Source organism: Homo sapiens, chromosome 1 (assembly GCF_000001405.40).
Source record: "Homo sapiens chromosome 1, GRCh38.p14 Primary Assembly".
Taxonomy (NCBI): domain Eukaryota; kingdom Metazoa; phylum Chordata; class Mammalia; order Primates; family Hominidae; genus Homo; species Homo sapiens.
Window position 1 is genome coordinate 9,883,705 of NC_000001.11, and position 19,017 is coordinate 9,902,721.

A 19,017-nucleotide genomic window follows, 5' to 3' on the forward strand; every position below is an offset into this window, starting at 1 on the left:
CCAGTGCTGTCACCGTTGTCAAGTCTGTCGGTCCCTGCAAGAGGGAGAAGAGGGGCAGAATCTTGCCTGTCCTTTCCCAGGTGCCCTGGCCCCCACTTGCTCTGCCTGAGAGCTGTGCTCAGCCTCAGGTGAGTCTTAACCTCGGCTTTGCCTCCTCCAGGTGGGTCGGCTGACTTAACGGTGCTGGGGGAGCTCAGGGGAGGTCACCACCCAAACAGTCAAGGAGGAAGAAGGTGGGGGAACGGGAGTCTGAAGATGCTGTGGGCAGGAGGGAGGGAATCCATGGGGAAGGAGGAAGGAGGAGGAGGGCAGGGAGCAGAGGAAGGGGAGAGTGAGGCAGAGGCACAGAAAAGGCTCCCGTGGAAGGGGGAGGGCACCTGGGCCAGCAGATTGCCTGTGGCTGGGCCTGTAGGCAGAGCCGGGGTACAAGGGACCCAACAGCTGCTGGGCAGTGAGTGGGGGCGACGGGACTGGGCCAGAGGGGAGGACCAGCTAAGCTCAGTTAACTGGATGCCCTTTCCTGGGAATGGCTCCAGGCACACTCCCCAGCCCACAGCAGGGAGGGAGAGATCAGCCAGCAGCCAGCCAGGCTTTCACCAGGGGCCATGGCAGCCCTTGGGGCAGGGCAGTCTGGGGAGGAAGAGAGCACCATTGTAGACCCCACAGCTCAAGGGAGGAGGGAAGACAGCCAGGCCTTAATCCCCGAGAGCTGCCCAGCCCCAGGCCTCCCAACAGAAATCAGGATCTGAAAGGAAGACTCAGGCTGCCCAGAGCCACCCGGACCCACAGGCAAAGCTTCTATCTAGCAGGTCACAACCAGGACAAGGTGTGGGAGCCAAGGGGACCTGGTCACCAGTTCAGAGTCAGCTGCCCAAGGAACCCTGAGGAAGAGGAAGGTGCTGTCATGGGAGGATGAGAAGCATTTGCTATGAATTGGAACACATCAGAGAAAAACCAGCCCCAAATGCGTATGTACATCCTAGAGAGAGGGGAGGGCAGACAATAAAACACGAGTGATGGGGAAATCCTTAGCACACAGGAAAAAGACAGGTGCTGGGGCCAACCCGCGGGTGAGTGGGAACAGGAGTGTGAGGGTGGGCAGCGGGCCCTTCCTGAGCAAAGACGGGAAGACAGTGAGGGAGGGAGTTGGGGAGCAGAGCTGGACAGAGGCCCTATGGTGGGGGCACAGGGGCGGCTGCAGGCCAGCACTGGGGTGGGGCTGCGGTGGAACAGGCCCAGGCAGAAGAGGGGACAGGGCCTGTGTCACAAGGGCAGCTGGGAGCTGGGAGCAGAGGAATGGCTGGTCTGACTCGGGGTCCAGCAGGACCACCTGACTGTTGAATGGAGACAGGCCCAGGGCCAGAGTAGAGGCCGTGGCAGGAATCCAGGCAGATCTGCTGGTGTCTCAGGTGAGAGGGCAGCAGCAGAGGGTGAGGGTTCAAGGCAGCCAGCTGGGGACTCGTGGCACAGGCAGACAACAGGGAGCGCACTGTGGGATGTGGGGGCAATGGTGACGGCTCCCGGGTTTTCAGTCTAAGTGGCTGAAGGTCGACATTCCTATCAATTGAGATGGGGAGAAGCAAGTGGAACAATTTTGGGGGACAATCACGAGCTGAATTTTAGACTTTAAGAGGTTTTTCCATCTCTGAGCCTTTGTTTCCTTTTCTGTAGAAAGGGGGTGATAACAGCACCTACCTCAAGGGCAGGTTGTGAAAATGAGATAACATGCAAAGAAAGCACTTGAAGCCTGGGCACATAATGAGACTCCGTCTCTACAAAAAATACAAAAGTTAGCTAGGTGTGGTGGCGTGCACTTGCAGTCACAGTTATTCTGGAGGCTGAGGTGGGAGGATCGCTTGAGCCTGGAAAATCAAGGCTGCAGTGAGCAGTGATCATGCCACTAAACTCCAGCCTAGGTGACAGGGCAAGACCCTGTCTCTAAAAAAAAAAAAAAAGAGGACAGGTGCGGTGGCTCAGACCTGTAATCCCAGAACTTTGGGAGGCCAAGGCGGGTGGATCACCTGAGGTTGGGAGTTCAAGACCAGCCTGACCAACATGGAGAAACCCTGTCTCTACTAAAAATACAAAATTAGCCGTGTTGGTAGTGCATGCCTGTACTTGGGAGGCTGAGGCAGGAGAATCGCTTGAATCTGGGAGGCAGAGGTTGTGGTGAGCCAAGATTGTGCCATTGCACTCCAGCCTGGGCAACAAGAGTGAAACTCCATCTTGAGGAAAAAAAAAAAAAAAAGCACTTGGCCCAGTGAGTGCCTGGTATACAGCAAAGGCTCAATAAATTCTAGTTACTATACTAATGAGATAAGAAAATGACACAGACCATGTAAGTAAATGCTTTTTGTTACAGTATGGGGGATGGGAGTAAAAATAAACAGTAAGAATTCAAAGGCTTTTAATACCCTCAGCTTCTCGCCTCTTCTCTCCCAGCTGCCCGTCAGTCCCCAGCTGGCTCAGAGGAATGATAAGGGACAGAGAGGCGGGAGGGGACCTTGCTTCCACAGTCTGAGTGCTGCCCCGAATCACTGGGAACACTTCTCAGCAGGGTGCCGCTGACATTTCAGACTGGGTGCGTTTCTGCTGGAGGGCTGTCTGCACATTGCAGAAGCTGAGAGGCATTCCTGGCCTCCACCCACTAGATGCCAGTAGCAGCCCCCCTCCAGTTGTGACAATCGAATCGAATATATCTTCTGACGTTGCCATGTGTCCCGTAGGGGACAAAATTGCCAGGTCGAGAGCACTGCTTTAAAGAAGCAGCTGACACGTACTCTGGCTTACTCTGTGCCTTGCACCATTGGCAACTCTCAGGTAAGTGAATCATTCAGTCTTCGCCACACACGTCCCTACAGGGCTTTACAAATGGGCATGCCATGGTGCACAGAGGTGACATAACTCACCTGTCATGGCCCAGCTAGTCCACATCGGAGCAGGATGGAACCCAGATTGTTCAAGGTCTCAACCGCTCTGCCCTGTTGCTCTCCAGTATACAAGTACCTGGGTAAAAAGTCACTCTGAGCCAGCGAGGGGGACGGGGGGCAGAGGCCTGCCGCAGCTCCTGCTAGAGTCCCACACAAGGTAGCACCTCAGGTCCTCTAGCGACATCAAAAAAGGGAGTGCCAGAGGGAATTTCCACACGCTCCACTCTCAGTAATTAAACTGCAACAACCTCCCAGACTCTCAGGCCTCAGGAGCAACCGCCTTAATTAATATATTCCACGTTGCAGCCTCCTCCATCCACAGCCACGCTCGGTATTCCCGAACCGCACTCCACCAGCAGAGCTAGGACAAAACAGGCCTCCTAGTGAGGCATGGCATTTGCAGGCCACAGCCCCATTCTTAGGGGATAAGCCTGGGATGGGGAATGTGTCTTGAGGTCACCAACCCCAATTCAAACCTGATGCAAAGCTCCTTCCTGCTCCCTGAAGCCAGGTGATGCTACCGAAGAATAATTACTGTTGTCACCACAGCATTTTCTAAGTCCAGGCACAGAGTGGCAGAGTCAGTCAGCCCTCACAAGCCTGCAAGGTAGGAATTATTCCCATTTTATGGATGACAAAACTGAGGCTCAGAGAAGGTAAGTAACCTGCCTGAGGCCATGGAGTAATAAGTGGTAAGCCTGGATCCAAGGCCATGCTTTCCCTCTCTCCTAACAGCCCCTTCTGGCTCAGGAGTTGACAGACGCATTATCCATTTTAACTGAAATTAAAAGAAAAATGTGGGCCGGGCACAGTGGCTCACGCCTGTAACCCCAGCACTTTGGAAGGTGGAGGCGGGCAGATCAGGAGGTCAAGAGATCGCCAACATAGTAAAACCCTGTCTCTACTAAAATTACAAAAATTAGCTGGGCATGGTGGCACACGCCTGTAATCCCAGCTACTCGGGAGGCTGAGGCAAGAGAATTGCTTGAACCCAGGAGGCAGAGGTTGCAGTGAGCTGAGATCTCGCCACTGCACTCCAACCTGGCAAAAGAGCAAGATTCCGTCTCAAGAAAAAAAAAAGAAAAAGAAAAATCCACCTTACAGGAAAAAGAAAAACGGCTAGAGTCCAACCCACTGCCAATCAGAGATTAATTCGAAAATAAGGCTTACAATTATTATATACCAATAGAAATTAATTAATTATTTTTGAGATGGAGTCTCACACCGTCACCCAGGCTGGAGTGCAGTGGTGCGATCTCAGCTCACTGCAACCTCCGCCTCCCGGGTTCAAGTGATTATCCTGCCTCAGCCTCCTAATAGCTGGGATTACAGGCACCCACCACCACACCCAGCTAATTTTTGTATTCTTAGTAAAGACGGGGTTTCACCATGTTGGCTAGGCTGGTCTTGAAATCCTAACCTCAAGTGATCCACCTGCCTCAGCCTCCCAAAGTGCTGGAATTACAGGCATGAGCCACCACACCCCGCTAATTAATTTTTAAAAAGAAAATATGGTCTGGGCACAGTGGCTCATGCCTGTAATCCCAACGCTTTGGGAGGCTGAGGTGGGAGTATCACTTGAGGCCAGGAGTTTGAGCCTGGGCAACAAGGTGAAACCCCATCTCTACAAAAAATAAAAAAAAAAATTTAAAAGCTGGGCATGGTGGCCGGGCGCGGTGGCTCATGCCTGTAATCCCAGCACTTTGGGAGGCTGAGGTGCGCGGATCACCTGAGGTCAGGAGTTCAAGACCAGCCTGGCAAACATGGTGAAACCCCGTCTCTACTAAAAAATACCAAAAATTAGCTGGGTGTGAGGCTGAGGCAGGAGAATCGCTTGAGCCCAGGAGGCAGAGACTGCAGTGAGCCGAGATCGCGCCACTGCACTCCAGCCTGGGTGACAGAGCAAGACTGCCTCAAAAAAAAAAAAAATTAAGAAATGGTAATGTAAGGCGATGGGGAGAGGCCCTGCATCTGTCTACACACAGTGCCATCTGCATCGCATCCCAGACCACCCCATGTTAGCCACAGCTAGCCCTCCTCCAGTGGGGGCAGCCATGAAGCCCAAATGCAGGAGGACCCTTTCCTCTCTGGCTACAGGTCTGCTGCCGTGGGAGTGATTCTGGAATTCTCAACAGTTTGCCCTATGCACACTCCGAGATCAGAGTAGCCCGCCTGTCCCCTTCACAGCAGTGCCGTGCACGCTGTTCCAGGTCCAGAGCTCTCTGATGAAGGCCCTTTCGGAAGGTTCTGGGAGCATTTAAATCAAATCCACCTGACCTCATTCAATACAGCCCCGCAATGGCCAGAATGCAATGCTGCACCCAGCTGAGCCGCCTACCTACTGCAGGAAAGGTACTGACACGGCAACCAGGCTGGGAGGGAGGCGCCTGGAACCACTGGGGCATCCTCCTTTCTATGAAGGGGCTCCTGTTCAGAGCAAGCTCTGCAGGCCACCAGCAGGCATGCCACACACACCAAAGTGCTCCAGCACAGGCACAAACCTGCCTGGAGACAGCTTCCCCAGGACCTGCACGCTGGACAGGAAGCAAAAAGAAAGGGCTCCTTCTGTCCCTCCCACGCACTGAGGCAGGCGGTCAGATCCAAGCTTACCCTCATATTCCCTCTACAGCCGTGGCTCTCAATGGGGGCGATTCTGCCCCACGGCAGAAATGTGGCAATATCTAGAGACATTTTTGATTGTCACGACTAGTAGGGTCCTGCTGGGTAGAGGCCAGGATCAGTGCCCACCACCAATAATTATCCAGCCCCACGTCTGGAGAGCTGAGTGAGAAGCCCTACTAGGGGGCCATCTCGGAGCTGCCGATTGCACCAGGCTCCCTCCACATCTCTGGGCCTCTGCATCTGCTATGCTTTCCACCTAGAACTTCCTTCCCTCCCTGATTCCTGAGACCAAGCCTCACAGATGTTCTCTGCTCTACAACACCTTCTCTGGGCTGCCTCGAGGCCTGTGTCTGCACATCCGCCTGCATTTCCTCTTCTCGCATCACCGCCCCAACACTGTACCTGGATATCTGAGAAATGTTCACCACCAGACTGGAAGCTCTTTGAGGACAGACCGGGGGTGGTTTTAAGGCCTTTATAGGCCCCAGGGAACCTTATTCTCAGAGACATACTAAAACAAACCCACATCTCTTATTAAATGTAATCCTCACGTAACTCACAAGAGTAGAGGGAGTGATATATTTTTTTCCCACATGGCCAATATTTTTGTGGACCCTAGAAAAACTTGTAAGGCTCTGTGCTGAAGAATCTGGACAGGTGAGACACCACTGCTAGCCACAACTGGGGCTCCTCGAGTGGTGAAGTGAATGGGAACCATGAAGGAAGTGCCCCCCAGCCTTTGCATGGCCTCACTTCAGATAATCCTAACACACCAAGGAGCTGGAGGAACCTGCATGTTCCTATAACTGGATTGGCATGAGGCATCTGTTTACATCTTCTGGTTTAAAATATTTATCCTTGTGATTCTGGCCCAGATCTCGTTGTCTCTCCAGTCCTGAATTGAGTGAAACCCACCTTTTTACAGAGGCAAGAGTACCTGGCAGGCCTGCTCTGACAGCCTCTTGAAATTCAGCTGAAAACAATGCAAACAGGAAGGCATGTGGAGCCTGAGGAAGTTTCCTTGGCTGCCCCAGAACACTGAAGATCCTGGGCTATGTCTTCAGGCTCTACTGTTCTAACCAAGGGGACGTGCTGGTGGAGGTTTTCTCTCTGCACAGTGGGGGGACAAGGACAGAAGAAAAGAAAGGCATCTTTCGGCTTAATTTTAAAAGAGGTTCTTTTTTCTTCCCAGAGAACAGCTGGAGCCCTGGAACCTGGCCAAGTCAGAGCCTGAGACCTGAAGTCAGGAACCAGCACGCCTACAAAATCCAGCCACGGATCTTCCTTTAATTCAGTCTGACTCATTACCTTCAGCCTCTGGCAGGTTCCAGAGGGGTTACTAATGCAGAATCCAGAGCCTTCTTCTATTTATAAGCCAATGGAAGGGCTGGAATCCTAGCTCTTGCATGGGTACAAGCGCCCCCTCACTCCTGGGTATGAGGCCTCCCAGGCCTGACCGACCTTCCCCATGGGCTGTGCACCTGGCAGGAAGCTTCCTGAGCAAAGGCATCAAAAGATCCTCTGTGTCAACTGGAGGTAGAGGAACGCTTTTTCTCTCCTGGGACACCAGAGAGATCCCCAGCAAGCTGACTAAGTCCCCAAAAGGCAAATTAATTTGCATTTCTGTCAGGAAGGGACCACTTCCAGACCTAGTAATTCCAGGGATGGAGCCTGGCCCAGAGGTTCTGGAGAGCATGGGTCACCTCCAGAGAGTGCGGGTCACCTCCAGAGAGTGCGATCAGACTGGAAATTTTGACCTATGGAAGCTCCATCAATCCCGCTGTCAAAAGCTATGCCAGCTCTTTGCAGGGTCACAGCTTAAAATTTTAATTACATTAGGAAATTTAAAAGTACTTCAAGAAGAAAGGGGGAAAACTGACACAGTGCTATTTTTGGCGGGGGTGGGGGGCACTCACGTTTCTCCACAAGGTACATAAGGTCCCTTCACTCTGAACCACACTGACATGTTCACGCCACCCCATTCCCACAAGGACAAGCCTCATCCTCAGAGGCAGGCCTGGGCATGGCCCGGCCCTCCCATTGCCTGAGGGTCACCCAGATCTTCTCAACAGGCACCTCTCTCTCCAGCTCTTCTCCCCTTGCCCCATTCCCTCCATAGCTTTCCCTCATTAAAGCCTCTATAATTGGTTCAAACAAACAAGCTTCCTGAACTGAGTTTGCTGCATCCCCTCAGAATCCCAGGGCTGGGAAAGCCTCCAGCTTCCTGTGGTGAGGATTAGGTCATTAAATCAATTGGATCGGCTGCAGGACTGTGCCCCCGGAAGCAGCCCCCTCCTCACCACCCGGCTCTGGGGATGGTCATCCTCAGGACCTGGCTGAGAGACCCCAGGTGCAGCCTCCTGGGGAAACGCTTCCCAATCAAACTCTTCGGAAAATAAGTTTTGTTGGGCACAGTGGCAAATGCCTGTAATCCCAGCACTTTGGGAGACTGAGGTAGGAGAATTGCTTGAGGCCTGGACTTCAAAACCAGCCTGGGCAATAAAGTAAGACCCCATCTCTTTAAATTTTTTTTTTTTTTTTTTTTTTTTTTTTTGGAGATGGGGTCTCGCTCTTTCCCTCTGTCGCCCAGGCTGGAGTGCAGTGGCGCAATCTCGTTTCACTGCAACCTCTGCCTTCCAGTCTCAGGTGATTCTCCTGCCTCGGCCTCCCGAGTAGTTGGGACTACAGGTGCGTGCCACCATGTCCAGCTAATTTTATTTTGTATTTTTAGTAGGGACAGGGTTTTGCCATGTTGGCCAGGCTGGTCTCAAAATCCTGACCTCATGTGATCTGCCTACCTCAGCCTCCCAAAGTGCTGGCATTATAGACATGAGCCACCGAGCCTGGCTTCTACAAAAAATCTTTAAAAGATTAGCTGGGTGCAGCCTGGGCGCGGTGGCTCACGCCTCTAATCCCAGCACTTTGGGAAGCTGAGGCGGGCGGATCATGAGGTCAGGAGATCAAGACCATCCTGGCTAACACGGTGAAACCCCGTCTCTACTAAAAATACAAAAAATTAGCCAGGCGTGGTGGTGGGTGCCTGTGGTCCCAGCTACTCGGGAGGCTGAGGCAGGAGAATGGCGTGAACCCGGGAGGCAGAGCTTGGAGTGAGCCGAGATCGCGCCACTGCATTCCAGCCTGGGGGACAGAGCGAGACTCCGTCTAAAAAAAAAAAAAAAAAAAGATTAGCTGGGTGTGCAGTGGCTTGCACCTGTAGGCCCAGTTACTTGGGAGGCTGAGGTGGGAGGATCCCAAGAGCCCAGGAGTCTGAGGTTGCAGTGAGCTATGATCACACCACTGCACCCCAGCCTGGGCAACAGAGCGAGACTGTCTCAAAAAAAAAAAAAGAAAAGAAGTTTTAAGGCCACTGCCTCTTTCCAACAGGCTGTCAGCATAAAGGTATGTGTTAATTTGCATAAAGATATAGGTGTATCTGTTTACTTCGCAAATACACCCATCTGTGCTACAGAGGCCAGGGTTCCTGGCTCCACGCATCACGTGAGCCACACTGCTTGCTTGTTTGGGTGATTGCTTCTGCTCTACTAAGCAGGAGGCGACCTTCCTGATCCTTTCCCCTCCAGCTACCTCGGAACAAAACATAATCCAAGGAAGGAGGAAACCTCCCCCTAAGAGGCTGTTGAGGACTCAGTTTCCTTCCTCTCCAAATGTTTAACAAGCCAATAATCAAAATCAACAATGCTTTAAACAAAGACCCCTTCAGAATCTCCCATGTGTTTATCCCATTAACTTACTGTGGGAAACGGTATCGGGACAAAAACTCCTGATGGGTCACAAGGCCTTGTCCAGTCTGAAGGCAAGGACAGTGGCAGCTGGAGCTGAAGGGAAGGAAGATCAGAAAAGACGCACTTGCTCCAGAAGAGGGGAAAATACAGCACCTGATACAATAGGAATCCACCCACAAACCCTGGAGGGTTTGTTCAAGGTTAAAGCCACCACAGACAAGCTCAGGAGAGTAGCCACAGGGGCGGCCAGTGTAAAGTGTCCAAGAAACTGTCCCTAGTCACAATGGGCGCAGGCATGAACACCCAGATCTGGGCACACCCTGGCAAACTAGCTCAGGAGACGAACCACCATCACCCATTTGTAATGACATCCCCTTTCCCAAAGCCACGAAACTGTTAGTCACCAAACCACAGAAAGGAAGCAGAAGCTTCTGGCAAAACTGGTCTGTTAAGAGCTCCCCTGGCAAAAAGACTCCAGTTTTTCCAGGCCAACGACTCACCCAAGACTGTTACATTTTACAAAATGAAACCCAGGAGTCTTTACAAGCCCATATCCAAAGAATGTAAGCAGGACCTGCCCTCCTGCAAAAACTCTCCATTGAGAGGAAAAAGCTTATCTCAAGGGTCACTGGAAGAGGGTTAATTACACGACACATTAATTTGATGATTAAGATGATTTCTGAGGATTAAGACTTTGTTTAAGTCCCAGAGAACAAAACTTCCTTGCAAATTTCCTTGGAGCACATAATGCAATGTTAAAAAACGAAAACAAAACCAAAAAAGGCATCAACGCACAGGACAAAGCATGCTAGGTCTTACCTGCTTCTAGAAAAGTCACTGAAGTCTGCCAGAAAGACACTAATCATAAAAACTTCCAAGTCCGAAAAAAGAATAACTCACCCAAAAAAGAAGTTCCTAAGAGAGAGGGAAACTGACTATTGTACATGCTGTAAAAGGACAAAGAAACCAGAAATCCAGGACAATAACCCAGGAGGGCCACGGCAACCAAAGGACCTGCAATCAAAATCAATTCCAGATGGAACAAAGTTGTTTTTTTTTCTTCCTCCTCACCTTTTTCTTTTGAAAAATTCCAAAGCCACGGAAGAGCTAAAAGAACAGTACAAGAACATCCACATACCTTGCTCCTGGAGTCCCACTGTTCACATTTTGCTATATATGTTTTATGGCTCTGTGCTGTGGGTATATGTCAAGGTACACGCACACTGCTGCTTTTCCTGAACCATCTGAAAGTCAATTGCAGAGATCATGATACTTGGCTAATGCCTCAGCACAGATCTCCTAAGGCCATTCTCCTACATAACCACAATATCATTAACACCCCAAGGAATTCTTGTTTGTTTGGTTTTGTTTTTTGAAACAGTGTCTCGCTCTGTCACACAGGGTGGAGTGCAGTGGTGCGATCACAGCTCACTGCAGCCTCAACATCCAGGGCTCAAGTGATCCTCCCCCCTCAGCCTCCTGAGTAGCTAGGATTAGAGGTGTGCACAACCACACTCGACTGCTTTTTTTTTTTCTTTTCTTTTGTGAGACAGGGTCTCACCCTGTCACCCAGGCTGGAGTGTAGTGGTGCAATCTCAGCTCACTGCAACCTCCACCTCCCAGGCTTAAGCGATCCTCCCACCTCAGCCTCCCAAATAGCTAGGCCTGCAGGCATGCATCACTATACCCAGCTAATTTTTATAGTTTTTGTAGAAATGGCGTTTCACCATGTTGCCCAGGCTAGTTTTGTTTTTTGTTTGAGACAGAGTCTCGCTCTGTCACCCAAGCTGGAGTGCAGTGGTGTGATCTCTGCTCACTGCAATTTCCGCCTCCCGGGTTCAAGAGATTCTCCTGCCTCAGCCTCCTGACTAGCTAGGATCACAAGTGTGACTGCCATGCCTGGCTATTTTTTTTTTTTTTTTTTTTGAGACAGAGTCTCACTCTGTCCCTCAGGCTGGAGTGCAGTGGTGCAATCTCGGCTCACTGCAAGCTCTGCTTCCCAGGTTCACACCATTCTCCTGCCTCAGCCTCCCAAGGAGCTGGGACTACAGACGCCCACCACCATGCCCTGCTAATTTTTTGTATTTTTAGTAGAGACAGGGTTTCACCGTGTTAGCCAAGATGGTCTCGATCTCCTGACCTCATGATACGCCCGCCTCGGCCTCCCGAAGTGCTGGGATTACAGGCATGAGCCACTGCACCCGGCCTGTTTTGTTTTTGAGACAGTCTTACTCTGTCACCCACGCTGGAATGTAATGGCACAATTGCAACTCACTGCAACCTCCGCCTCCTGGGTTCCAGCGATTCTCCCACCTCAGCCTCCCAAGTAGCTGGGATTATAGGCACCCACCACCATGCCCAGCTAATTTTTGTATTGCAGTTGAGATGGGGTTTTGCCATGTTGGGCAGGCTGGTCTTGAACTCCTGACTTCACGTGATCCGCCCGCCTCAGCCTCCCAAAGTGCTGGGATTACAGGCGTGAGCCACCATGCCTAGCCTAGTTTTGTTTTGTTTTGAGATGGAGTCTTGCTCTGTCGCCAGGCTAGAGTGCAGTGGCACGATCTCGGCTCACTGCAACCTCCGCCTCCCGGGTTCAAGCGATTCCATTGCCTCAGTCTCTCGAGCAGCTGGGACTATAGGTGCACGCCACCATGCCCAGCTAATTTTTTGTATTTTTAGTAGAGACAGGATTTCACCATGTTGGCCAGGCTGGTCTCTCGAACTCCTGACCTCGTGATCCACCCGCCTTGGCCTCCCAAAGTGCTAGGATTACAGGCATGAGCCACCGCACCTGGCCTTGTTTTGTTTTTTAAGAGATGGGACTTGCTATGTTGCCCAGGCTGGTCTTGAACTCCTGGCCTCAAGCAATCCTCCTGCCTCTGCCTCCAAAAGTGCTGGGATTACAGGTGTGAGCCACCACGCCCGACCTTCCCAAGGAATTTAATATTGACCAAGTAGTATCTTTGATATCCACCCCATATCCAAATTTCCCCAATTCCCCCTCCCCCTCAATTTGGCCTTCACTTGTGTTTAATCCAGGACTGGATCAAGGATCTCAGTTGTATTTGGTTCCCATGCTCTTCAACCTACTTAATCTAGAGTGGTTTAGCAGCTTTTCTTTGTTTATCAGGATATTAACATTTTTTAGAGTCCAGGACCCTTGTCTTTAGGATGTTCCACAATCTGGATTTGGCCAATTGTTCCTTAAACACTTTCACAAGAAATTATGTATCTGATGTATCAGTGTTCCACTAGAAGTGCATAATGCCAGTTTGCCCCAATTCTGGTGATGCTGGCTTTGATACCTTGGATATGGATCAAAGTTTTAATGTATAAAACATGGAGTGAATGTATTAGACGAAAACACAGGCAAAGAAAACAGTGCGAGAAGAAAATATGAAATGAAACCTAGAAGTCAGCCGGGTGCAGTGGCTCATGCCTGCAATCCCAGCACTTTGAGACACAAAGGCAGGCAGATCACCTGAGGTCAGGAGTTCGAGAGTAGCCTGGCCAACATGGTGAAACCCCGTCTCTACTAAAAATATAAAAATTAGGCCGGCCATGGCGGCTCACGCTTCTAATCCCAGGATTTTGGGAGGCCGAGGTGGGCAGATCACAAGGTCAGGAGTTCAAGACCAGCCTGACTAACATGGTAAAACCCCGTCTCTACTAAAAAATACAAAAATTGGCCGGGTGCGGCGGCTCACGCCTTTAATCCCAGCACTTTGAGAGACCAAGGTGGGCGAATCATGAGGTCAGGAGTTCGAGACCAGCCTGGCCAAAATGGTGAAACCCCATTTCTACTAAAAATACAGAAATTAGCCAGGCATGGTGGCACGTGCCTGTAGTCCCAGCTACTCAGGAGGCTGAGGCAGAAGAATCAATGGAACCCGGGAGGCCAAGGTTGCAGTGAGCCGAGATCGTGCCACTGCACTCCAGCCTGGGCGACAGAGTGAGATTCTGTCTCAAACAAACAAAAAAAAAAAATGAAAATTAGCCGGGCATGGTGGCGCGCGCCTGTAATCCCAGCTACTCAGGAGGCTGAGGCAAGAGAATCGCTTGAACACGGGAGGAGGAGTTGCAATGAGCCAAGATCACATCACTGCATTGCACTCCAGCCTGGGAGACAAAGCGAGACTCTGTCTCAAAAACAAACAAACAAACAAAAAACGTGGCCAGGCACGGTGGCTCAGGCCTGTAATCCCAGCACTTTGGGAGGCCGAGGCGGGCGGATCACGAGGTCAGGAGATCGAGACCATCCTGGCTAACATGGTGAAACCCCGTCTCTACTAAAAATACAAAAAATTAGCCAGATGTGGTGGCGGGTGCCTGTAGTCCCAGCTACTCAGGAGGCTGAGGCAGGACAATGGCATGAGCCCAGGAGGCGGAGCTTGCAGTGAGCCAAGATCGCTCCACTGCACTCTAGCCTGGGCCACAGAGCGAGACTCCGTCTCAAAAAACAAAAACAAAAACAAAAACAAAACAAAACAAAAAAAATGAGAATTAGCCAGGCATGGTGGCGCGTGCCTGTAATCCCAGCTACTCAGGAGGCTGGGGCAAGAGAATTGCTTGAACCCAGGAGGCGGAGGTTGCAGTGAGCCGAGATCCTGCTATTGCACTCCAGCCTGGGCGACAGAGCAAGACTCCGTTTCAAAAAAAAAAAAATTAGCCAAGCGTGGTGGCAGGCGCCTGTAATCCCAGTGACTCAGGTGGCTGAGGCAGGAGAATCACTTGAAGCTGGAAGGTGGAGGTTGCAGTGCGCTGAGATCGTGCCACTGTATTCCAGCCTGTGTGAAGAGTGAGACTCCGTCTCAAAAAATAAAAGAAATAAAAAAATTTGGCCGGATGCGGTGGCTCACGCCTGTAATCCCAGCACTTTGGGAGGCCGAGGTGGGCGGATCACAGGGTTAGGAGTTCAAGACCAGCCTGGCCAATAGGGCGAAACCCCGTCTCTACTAAAAAATACAAAAATTAGCCGGGCGTGCTGGCACACGCCTGTAGTCCCAGCTACAGGCTGAGGCAGGAGAATCGCTTGAACCCAGAAGGCAGAGGATGCAGTGAGCTGAGATCGCACCACTGAACTCCAGTCTGGATAACAGAGTGAGACTCTGTCTCAGCAAAAAAAAAAAATAAATAAAATTAAAAAATTTAAAAAGAAACCTAGAAGTCATAAAATATTAAAAAATCTGATTACATAAAAATCAAAAACTCTGCATGAAAAAATATATAATTAAAAGAACAGTGGGCCGGGCACAGTGGCTCACACCTGTAATCCTAGCCCTTTGGGAGGCCAAGGTGGGCGCATCACGAGGTCAGGAGATCGAGACCATCCTGGCCAACGTGGTGAAACCCCGTCTCTGCTAAAAATACAAAAATTATCTGGGTGTGGTGGCAGGTGCCTGTAATCCCAGCTACTCAGGAGGCTGAGGCACAAGAATCTGTGGAATCTGGGAGTCGGAGGTTGCAGTGAGCCAAGATCGTGCCACTGCACTACAGCCTGGCAACACAGCGAGACTGTGTCTCAAAAGGGAAAAAAAAAATAAAAAGAACAGTGACAAATTGGCGAAAATATGTATAACACATATCACAGCCATAGGACAAATTTCCTTAATATATAAAAAAAAGTGTAAGTCAATAAGAAAAAGACTGTAAACCTAAAAAAGAAATGGGCAAACAATACACAGTTGTCCCTCAGTATCCATTGGGGATTGGCTCCAGGACCCCTACACAGAAACCAAAATCCACAGATGCTCTAGTCCCTTATATAAAGTGACACAGTATTTGCATGTAACCTATGCACATCCTGCCATATACTTTAAATCATCTCTAGATTATTCACAGTACCTGATAAATGTAAATACTATGTAAATAGTTATACTATATTGGTTTTTTATTTGTATTATTTGTTATTGTATTGTTATATTTTGGTTTTTCCCTGAATATTTTTTGAATTTAATTTCATTTTATTTTTTGGTATTTAAAAAAAATTTTTTACTTCCGTAGGTTTTTGGGGAACAGGTGGTGTTTGGTTACATGAGTAAGTTCTTTAGCAGTGATTCATGAGAATTTTTCCTGAATATTTTTGTGGTTGGTTTAATCCACAGATGGGGAACCTGAGGATATGGAAGGCTGACTAAGAGATGGTTCATAAGCGGCCTTAAAAATATAAAATGAGGCCGGGCACGGTGGCTCACGCCTGTGATCCCAGCACTTTGGGAGGCCAAGGCAGGCAGATCACCTAAGATCAGGAGTTCAAGACCAGCCTGGCCAACATGGTGAAACCCCATCTCTACTAAAAATACAAAAATTAGCTGGGTGTGGTGGCGTGCACCTGTAATGCCAGCTACCCAGGAGGCTGAGGCAGGAGAATCGCTGGAACCTGGGAGGCACAGGCTGCAGTGAGCCGAGATGGCACCAATGCACTCCAGCCTGGGCGACAGAACAAGACTCCATCTCAAAAAAAAAAAAAAAAAAAAAAATGACAGGCGCAGTGCCTCACGCCTGTAATCCCAGCACTTTGGGAGGCCGAGGTGGGTAGGTCACAAGGTCAGGAGATCAAGGCTATCTTGGCCAACATGGTGAAACCCCATCTCTACTAAAATACAAAAAATTAGCCGGGCATGGTGACGCATGGCTGTAATCCCAGCTACCTGGGGGGCTGAGGCAAGGGAATCACTTGAACCCGGGAGGCGGAGGTTGCAGTGAGCTGAGATCATGCCACTGCACTCCAGCCTGGCGACAGAGCAAGGCTCCGTCTCAAAAAAAAAGAAAGAAAGAAAGAAAGAAAGAAATGGCTGTGCATGGTGGCTCACGCCTGTAATCCCAGAACTTTGGGAGGCCGAGGTGGGTGGATCACCTGAGGTCAGGGGTTCGAGACCAGCCTAGCCAACATGGCAAAGCCCCACCTTTACTAAACCTACAAAAATTAGCTGAGCCTGGTGGCACATGCCTGTAATCCCAGGTACTCGGGAGGCTGAGGCAGGAGAATCCCTTGAACCCAGGAGGCAGAGGTTGAAGTGAGGCAAGATTGCACCACTACACTCCAGCCTGGACGACAAGACTCCGTCTCAAGAAAAAAAAAAAAAACAATCAATAGAATGCCATTAAAATGAGTGAGGTGGAGGCCGGGTGCTGTGGCTCACGCTTGTAATCCCAGCACTTTGGAAGGCCGAGGCGAGCAGATCACAAGATTGAGACCATCCTGGCTAACAAGGTGAAACCCCATCTCTACTAAAAATACAAAAAATTAGCACAGCATGGTGGCATGTGCTTGTGGTCCCAACTACTTGGGAGGCCGAGATGGGAGGATCACTTGAGCCTGGGAGGTTGAGGCTGTGATCACGGTGAGCTGTGATCGTGTCACCACACTCCAGCCTGGGCGAATGATGTTTTTAAATGAAGTGGAATGCGGTCAGATGAGAATGAAAGAACACCCTTCATCTGAGTGCTCTTGCCAGTGCAGTGCGGTGCCTGACGCTAAGCACTTCAATCTCCACTGTCACCACTCATGGACCTAACAGGCCACTCCTCTTTAGAGATTAGGAAGTGAGAGTGGGAAGCCAGCACCCAAAGCAAACACAAGGCAAACGGGCACACGTGACCCCTTGTGCCAGCAGCAGCAGACCTCAGGAGGGAGGAAGGAGCCAGGTCTCTGCACTGCTCCGGCTGCCCGAGCTCCCTTACATCCCACCACAAACTCTGGAAGACTGCTCTGTGCAGGAAAGCAGAACTGGGGGCCAGCTTGCTTGCCTGTAAGCCCCACCATGTCTTCCAAAAAATCACCAGCACCTCATCTTCCTGCAACTCCAGCGATCGGCCAGAGGAAGGCTATGTGCCCCTGGAGGCTGTGGGCAGTGCCAACAGTATTAACACACACGGAGGGAGAAGGACCTTCTGCCTCAGTCCAGAAGCCGAGTGTGAGCACACGCTCAGGAACAGGCTCATAGGGCCTAGCCAGAGCTGACCTTGGCAGGTACTTTTGCTCCCTTCTTGGTAAGTAAAATGGGATTATTCAGGGGCTCAGACCCACCACTTCACCAGCTTAAGTGCTACCAGTACTAACAGCTTCACGTATTTAAATCATACCCCAGGCCCCTCCCCAACACACAAAAAAGAAATGTAAAATTACAGAGAAGCATTAAAATGTCATCTACCTGGAAAGAATAACAGAAACCTAGAAGTTCAGAAACAGGTCTCATTTCATATTCCTGCAGCAGAAGGATATTTAGGATATTTGGCAAGGGTGCAAGTCAGGGTCAGGATGGGTCTCTGGGAAGCCAGGGCTGCCTGAGGCAGGTGGCTGTGAGGCCTGTCTGGGCAGGGAGGTCAAGGCTAAGTATCTCCTTGGAAACTGGTCCAAGGTTTGCTTGGTGATTGATCAGGAAGAACAGGGGTGGGGCCCATATTATGTGAGGTGTTTGATCCACAAGGGATCCTGATCTTTGCAGGAAGCCTTGCTGGTGGAATCTAGGACTTCAGGGGTGGTAACTTCATCTGCCCTGGGGTGGTTATTCGGTTCAGGTCAAGGACATTGACCACAGGATTCCAGCAGCAGAAAACATGTGGGTTAGACACTTGGGTGCTACTCGGGCCTGAAAAAAACACCTTAATTGGAGCTGGCTCTCAAAGCCTCCTCCCCAGCTCTCCATGTGGGAGAGGATATGGAAGTGGGTCACAATCTTCTAGCTGAAACAGCGTCACTGCGGGCTCCAATCACACTTGAAGATGTCCAGGTGCACTGAGTGACCTGGCCTCCTCGCTGTGCAGGCCTTGCCTTCCTAATCAGATGCTGGATGCTGCTGCCCCGCCCCTCAGCTTGAAGGGCCAGCTGATTAGCACCGGGAGTGCCACATACAGTGACATGACAAGGGCTGGTGAAAATAACATCGCACAAGGATATGCCTCGCTGTCCTGGCACCCTCCTCTCACTCCAAATGTGAGTGGCTGCCTCTGCCAGCCCTTTGCCCTCTCTACCCAGCCCTGGCTGGAGGGAGAGAGGAACACTGTGTGCTTTCACATGAACTGCTTGCTAGACCTCCCTGACCTTGGTCTTTGAAGAGAGCTGAAGGCCTGGTGCTTGGGGAAGAAAGAACCCTGCCCCCACTCTAATCTGTATATATTGACCCAAAATGGGGGCCAGAGGACATAGGTGTCCATGTGCATCAGTTCCCCCAGGAACCCCATGAGCACTGTGGAGAGCCCGCCTGCCACCATATGCCTGCTTTCCAAAGTTGGCAGCGAGAGACGTGTCGGGCAGGAAGAGAACTCTGCAGAGACAAGGTCTGGCGCCTGTTACATAAGAAGTGCACCGTGTTAATGGCAGAACTTCAAAATCCACAGCCCCAAGCAAAAACTTTGAAAAGAAATCCTCAATATGAGCATTTCTCCCTGACTGAAACTCAAGTTAACAGTCAAAGGGTTAAGGCTTTAAGTGGGAAGGGAGTTCTTGCTAACCATGGCTCCTGAGGTGTGCACTGTTTCTCAAGATGTCCATACCAAGTACAGCTTTTGTTACAGGACACGGAAGGGCTCTAATTGTTTCACTCTTCCCTTGCTCTTCTGGAAAGCCAACCCAGCCCCCCACCTTAATGTCCACTCAGGGCAGGTAGCCACTGGGGCCAGTGTGCATCTGGAGATCATGTCCTGACTCTCCTCCTAAGAGTTCAAAGCACTCTCATCAAATCATTCTTTCTTCATTCACACGATCCCAACTATATAATAAG

At 50.5% G+C, this 19,017-nt stretch overlaps 1 protein-coding gene across 5 annotated transcripts in view, besides 3 other annotated features; it reads right to left on the bottom strand.

Annotated features, from left to right (window-relative positions):
• The window catches only part of CTNNBIP1 (catenin beta interacting protein 1), a 61,994-nt gene that overhangs the window by 35,429 nt on the left and 7,548 nt on the right, over positions 1 to 19,017 (bottom strand). The window contains exons 2-5 of one of the 5 annotated variants that reach the window (XM_047425763.1): positions 10,434 to 10,539; positions 6,490 to 6,662; positions 2,910 to 3,530; positions 1 to 34 (exon numbers count right to left, since the gene is read on the bottom strand). The exons of 1 other annotated variant lie outside the window; for it this stretch is intronic. In XM_047425763.1, the coding sequence (XP_047281719.1) occupies positions 1 to 34; positions 2,910 to 2,934 (59 nt within the window). In that variant the 5' untranslated portion in view covers positions 2,935 to 3,530; positions 6,490 to 6,662; positions 10,434 to 10,539. Of the gene's footprint in view, positions 35 to 2,909; positions 3,531 to 6,467; positions 6,663 to 10,433; positions 10,540 to 19,017 lie in introns of all 5 variants that reach the window. 3 more of the 5 variants (XM_047425762.1, XM_047425765.1, NM_020248.3) reach the window with 3 other exon arrangements.
• Positions 224 to 1,013: an enhancer, noted in NCBI's record as "H3K27ac-H3K4me1 hESC enhancer chr1:9943986-9944775 (GRCh37/hg19 assembly coordinates)". NCBI's record gives its function as "activates a minimal SCP1, AML or CMV promoter by ChIP-STARR-seq in naive and primed H9 embryonic stem cells {active_cell/tissue: H9 hESC(naive and primed)}" and the evidence as "EXISTENCE:reporter gene assay evidence [ECO:0000049][PMID:30033119]".
• Positions 3,089 to 3,677: an enhancer, noted in NCBI's record as "H3K27ac-H3K4me1 hESC enhancer chr1:9946851-9947439 (GRCh37/hg19 assembly coordinates)". NCBI's record gives its function as "activates a minimal SCP1, AML or CMV promoter by ChIP-STARR-seq in naive H9 embryonic stem cells {active_cell/tissue: H9 hESC(naive)}" and the evidence as "EXISTENCE:reporter gene assay evidence [ECO:0000049][PMID:30033119]".
• Positions 16,499 to 17,000: an enhancer, noted in NCBI's record as "H3K4me1 hESC enhancer chr1:9960261-9960762 (GRCh37/hg19 assembly coordinates)". NCBI's record gives its function as "activates a minimal SCP1, AML or CMV promoter by ChIP-STARR-seq in primed H9 embryonic stem cells {active_cell/tissue: H9 hESC(primed)}" and the evidence as "EXISTENCE:reporter gene assay evidence [ECO:0000049][PMID:30033119]".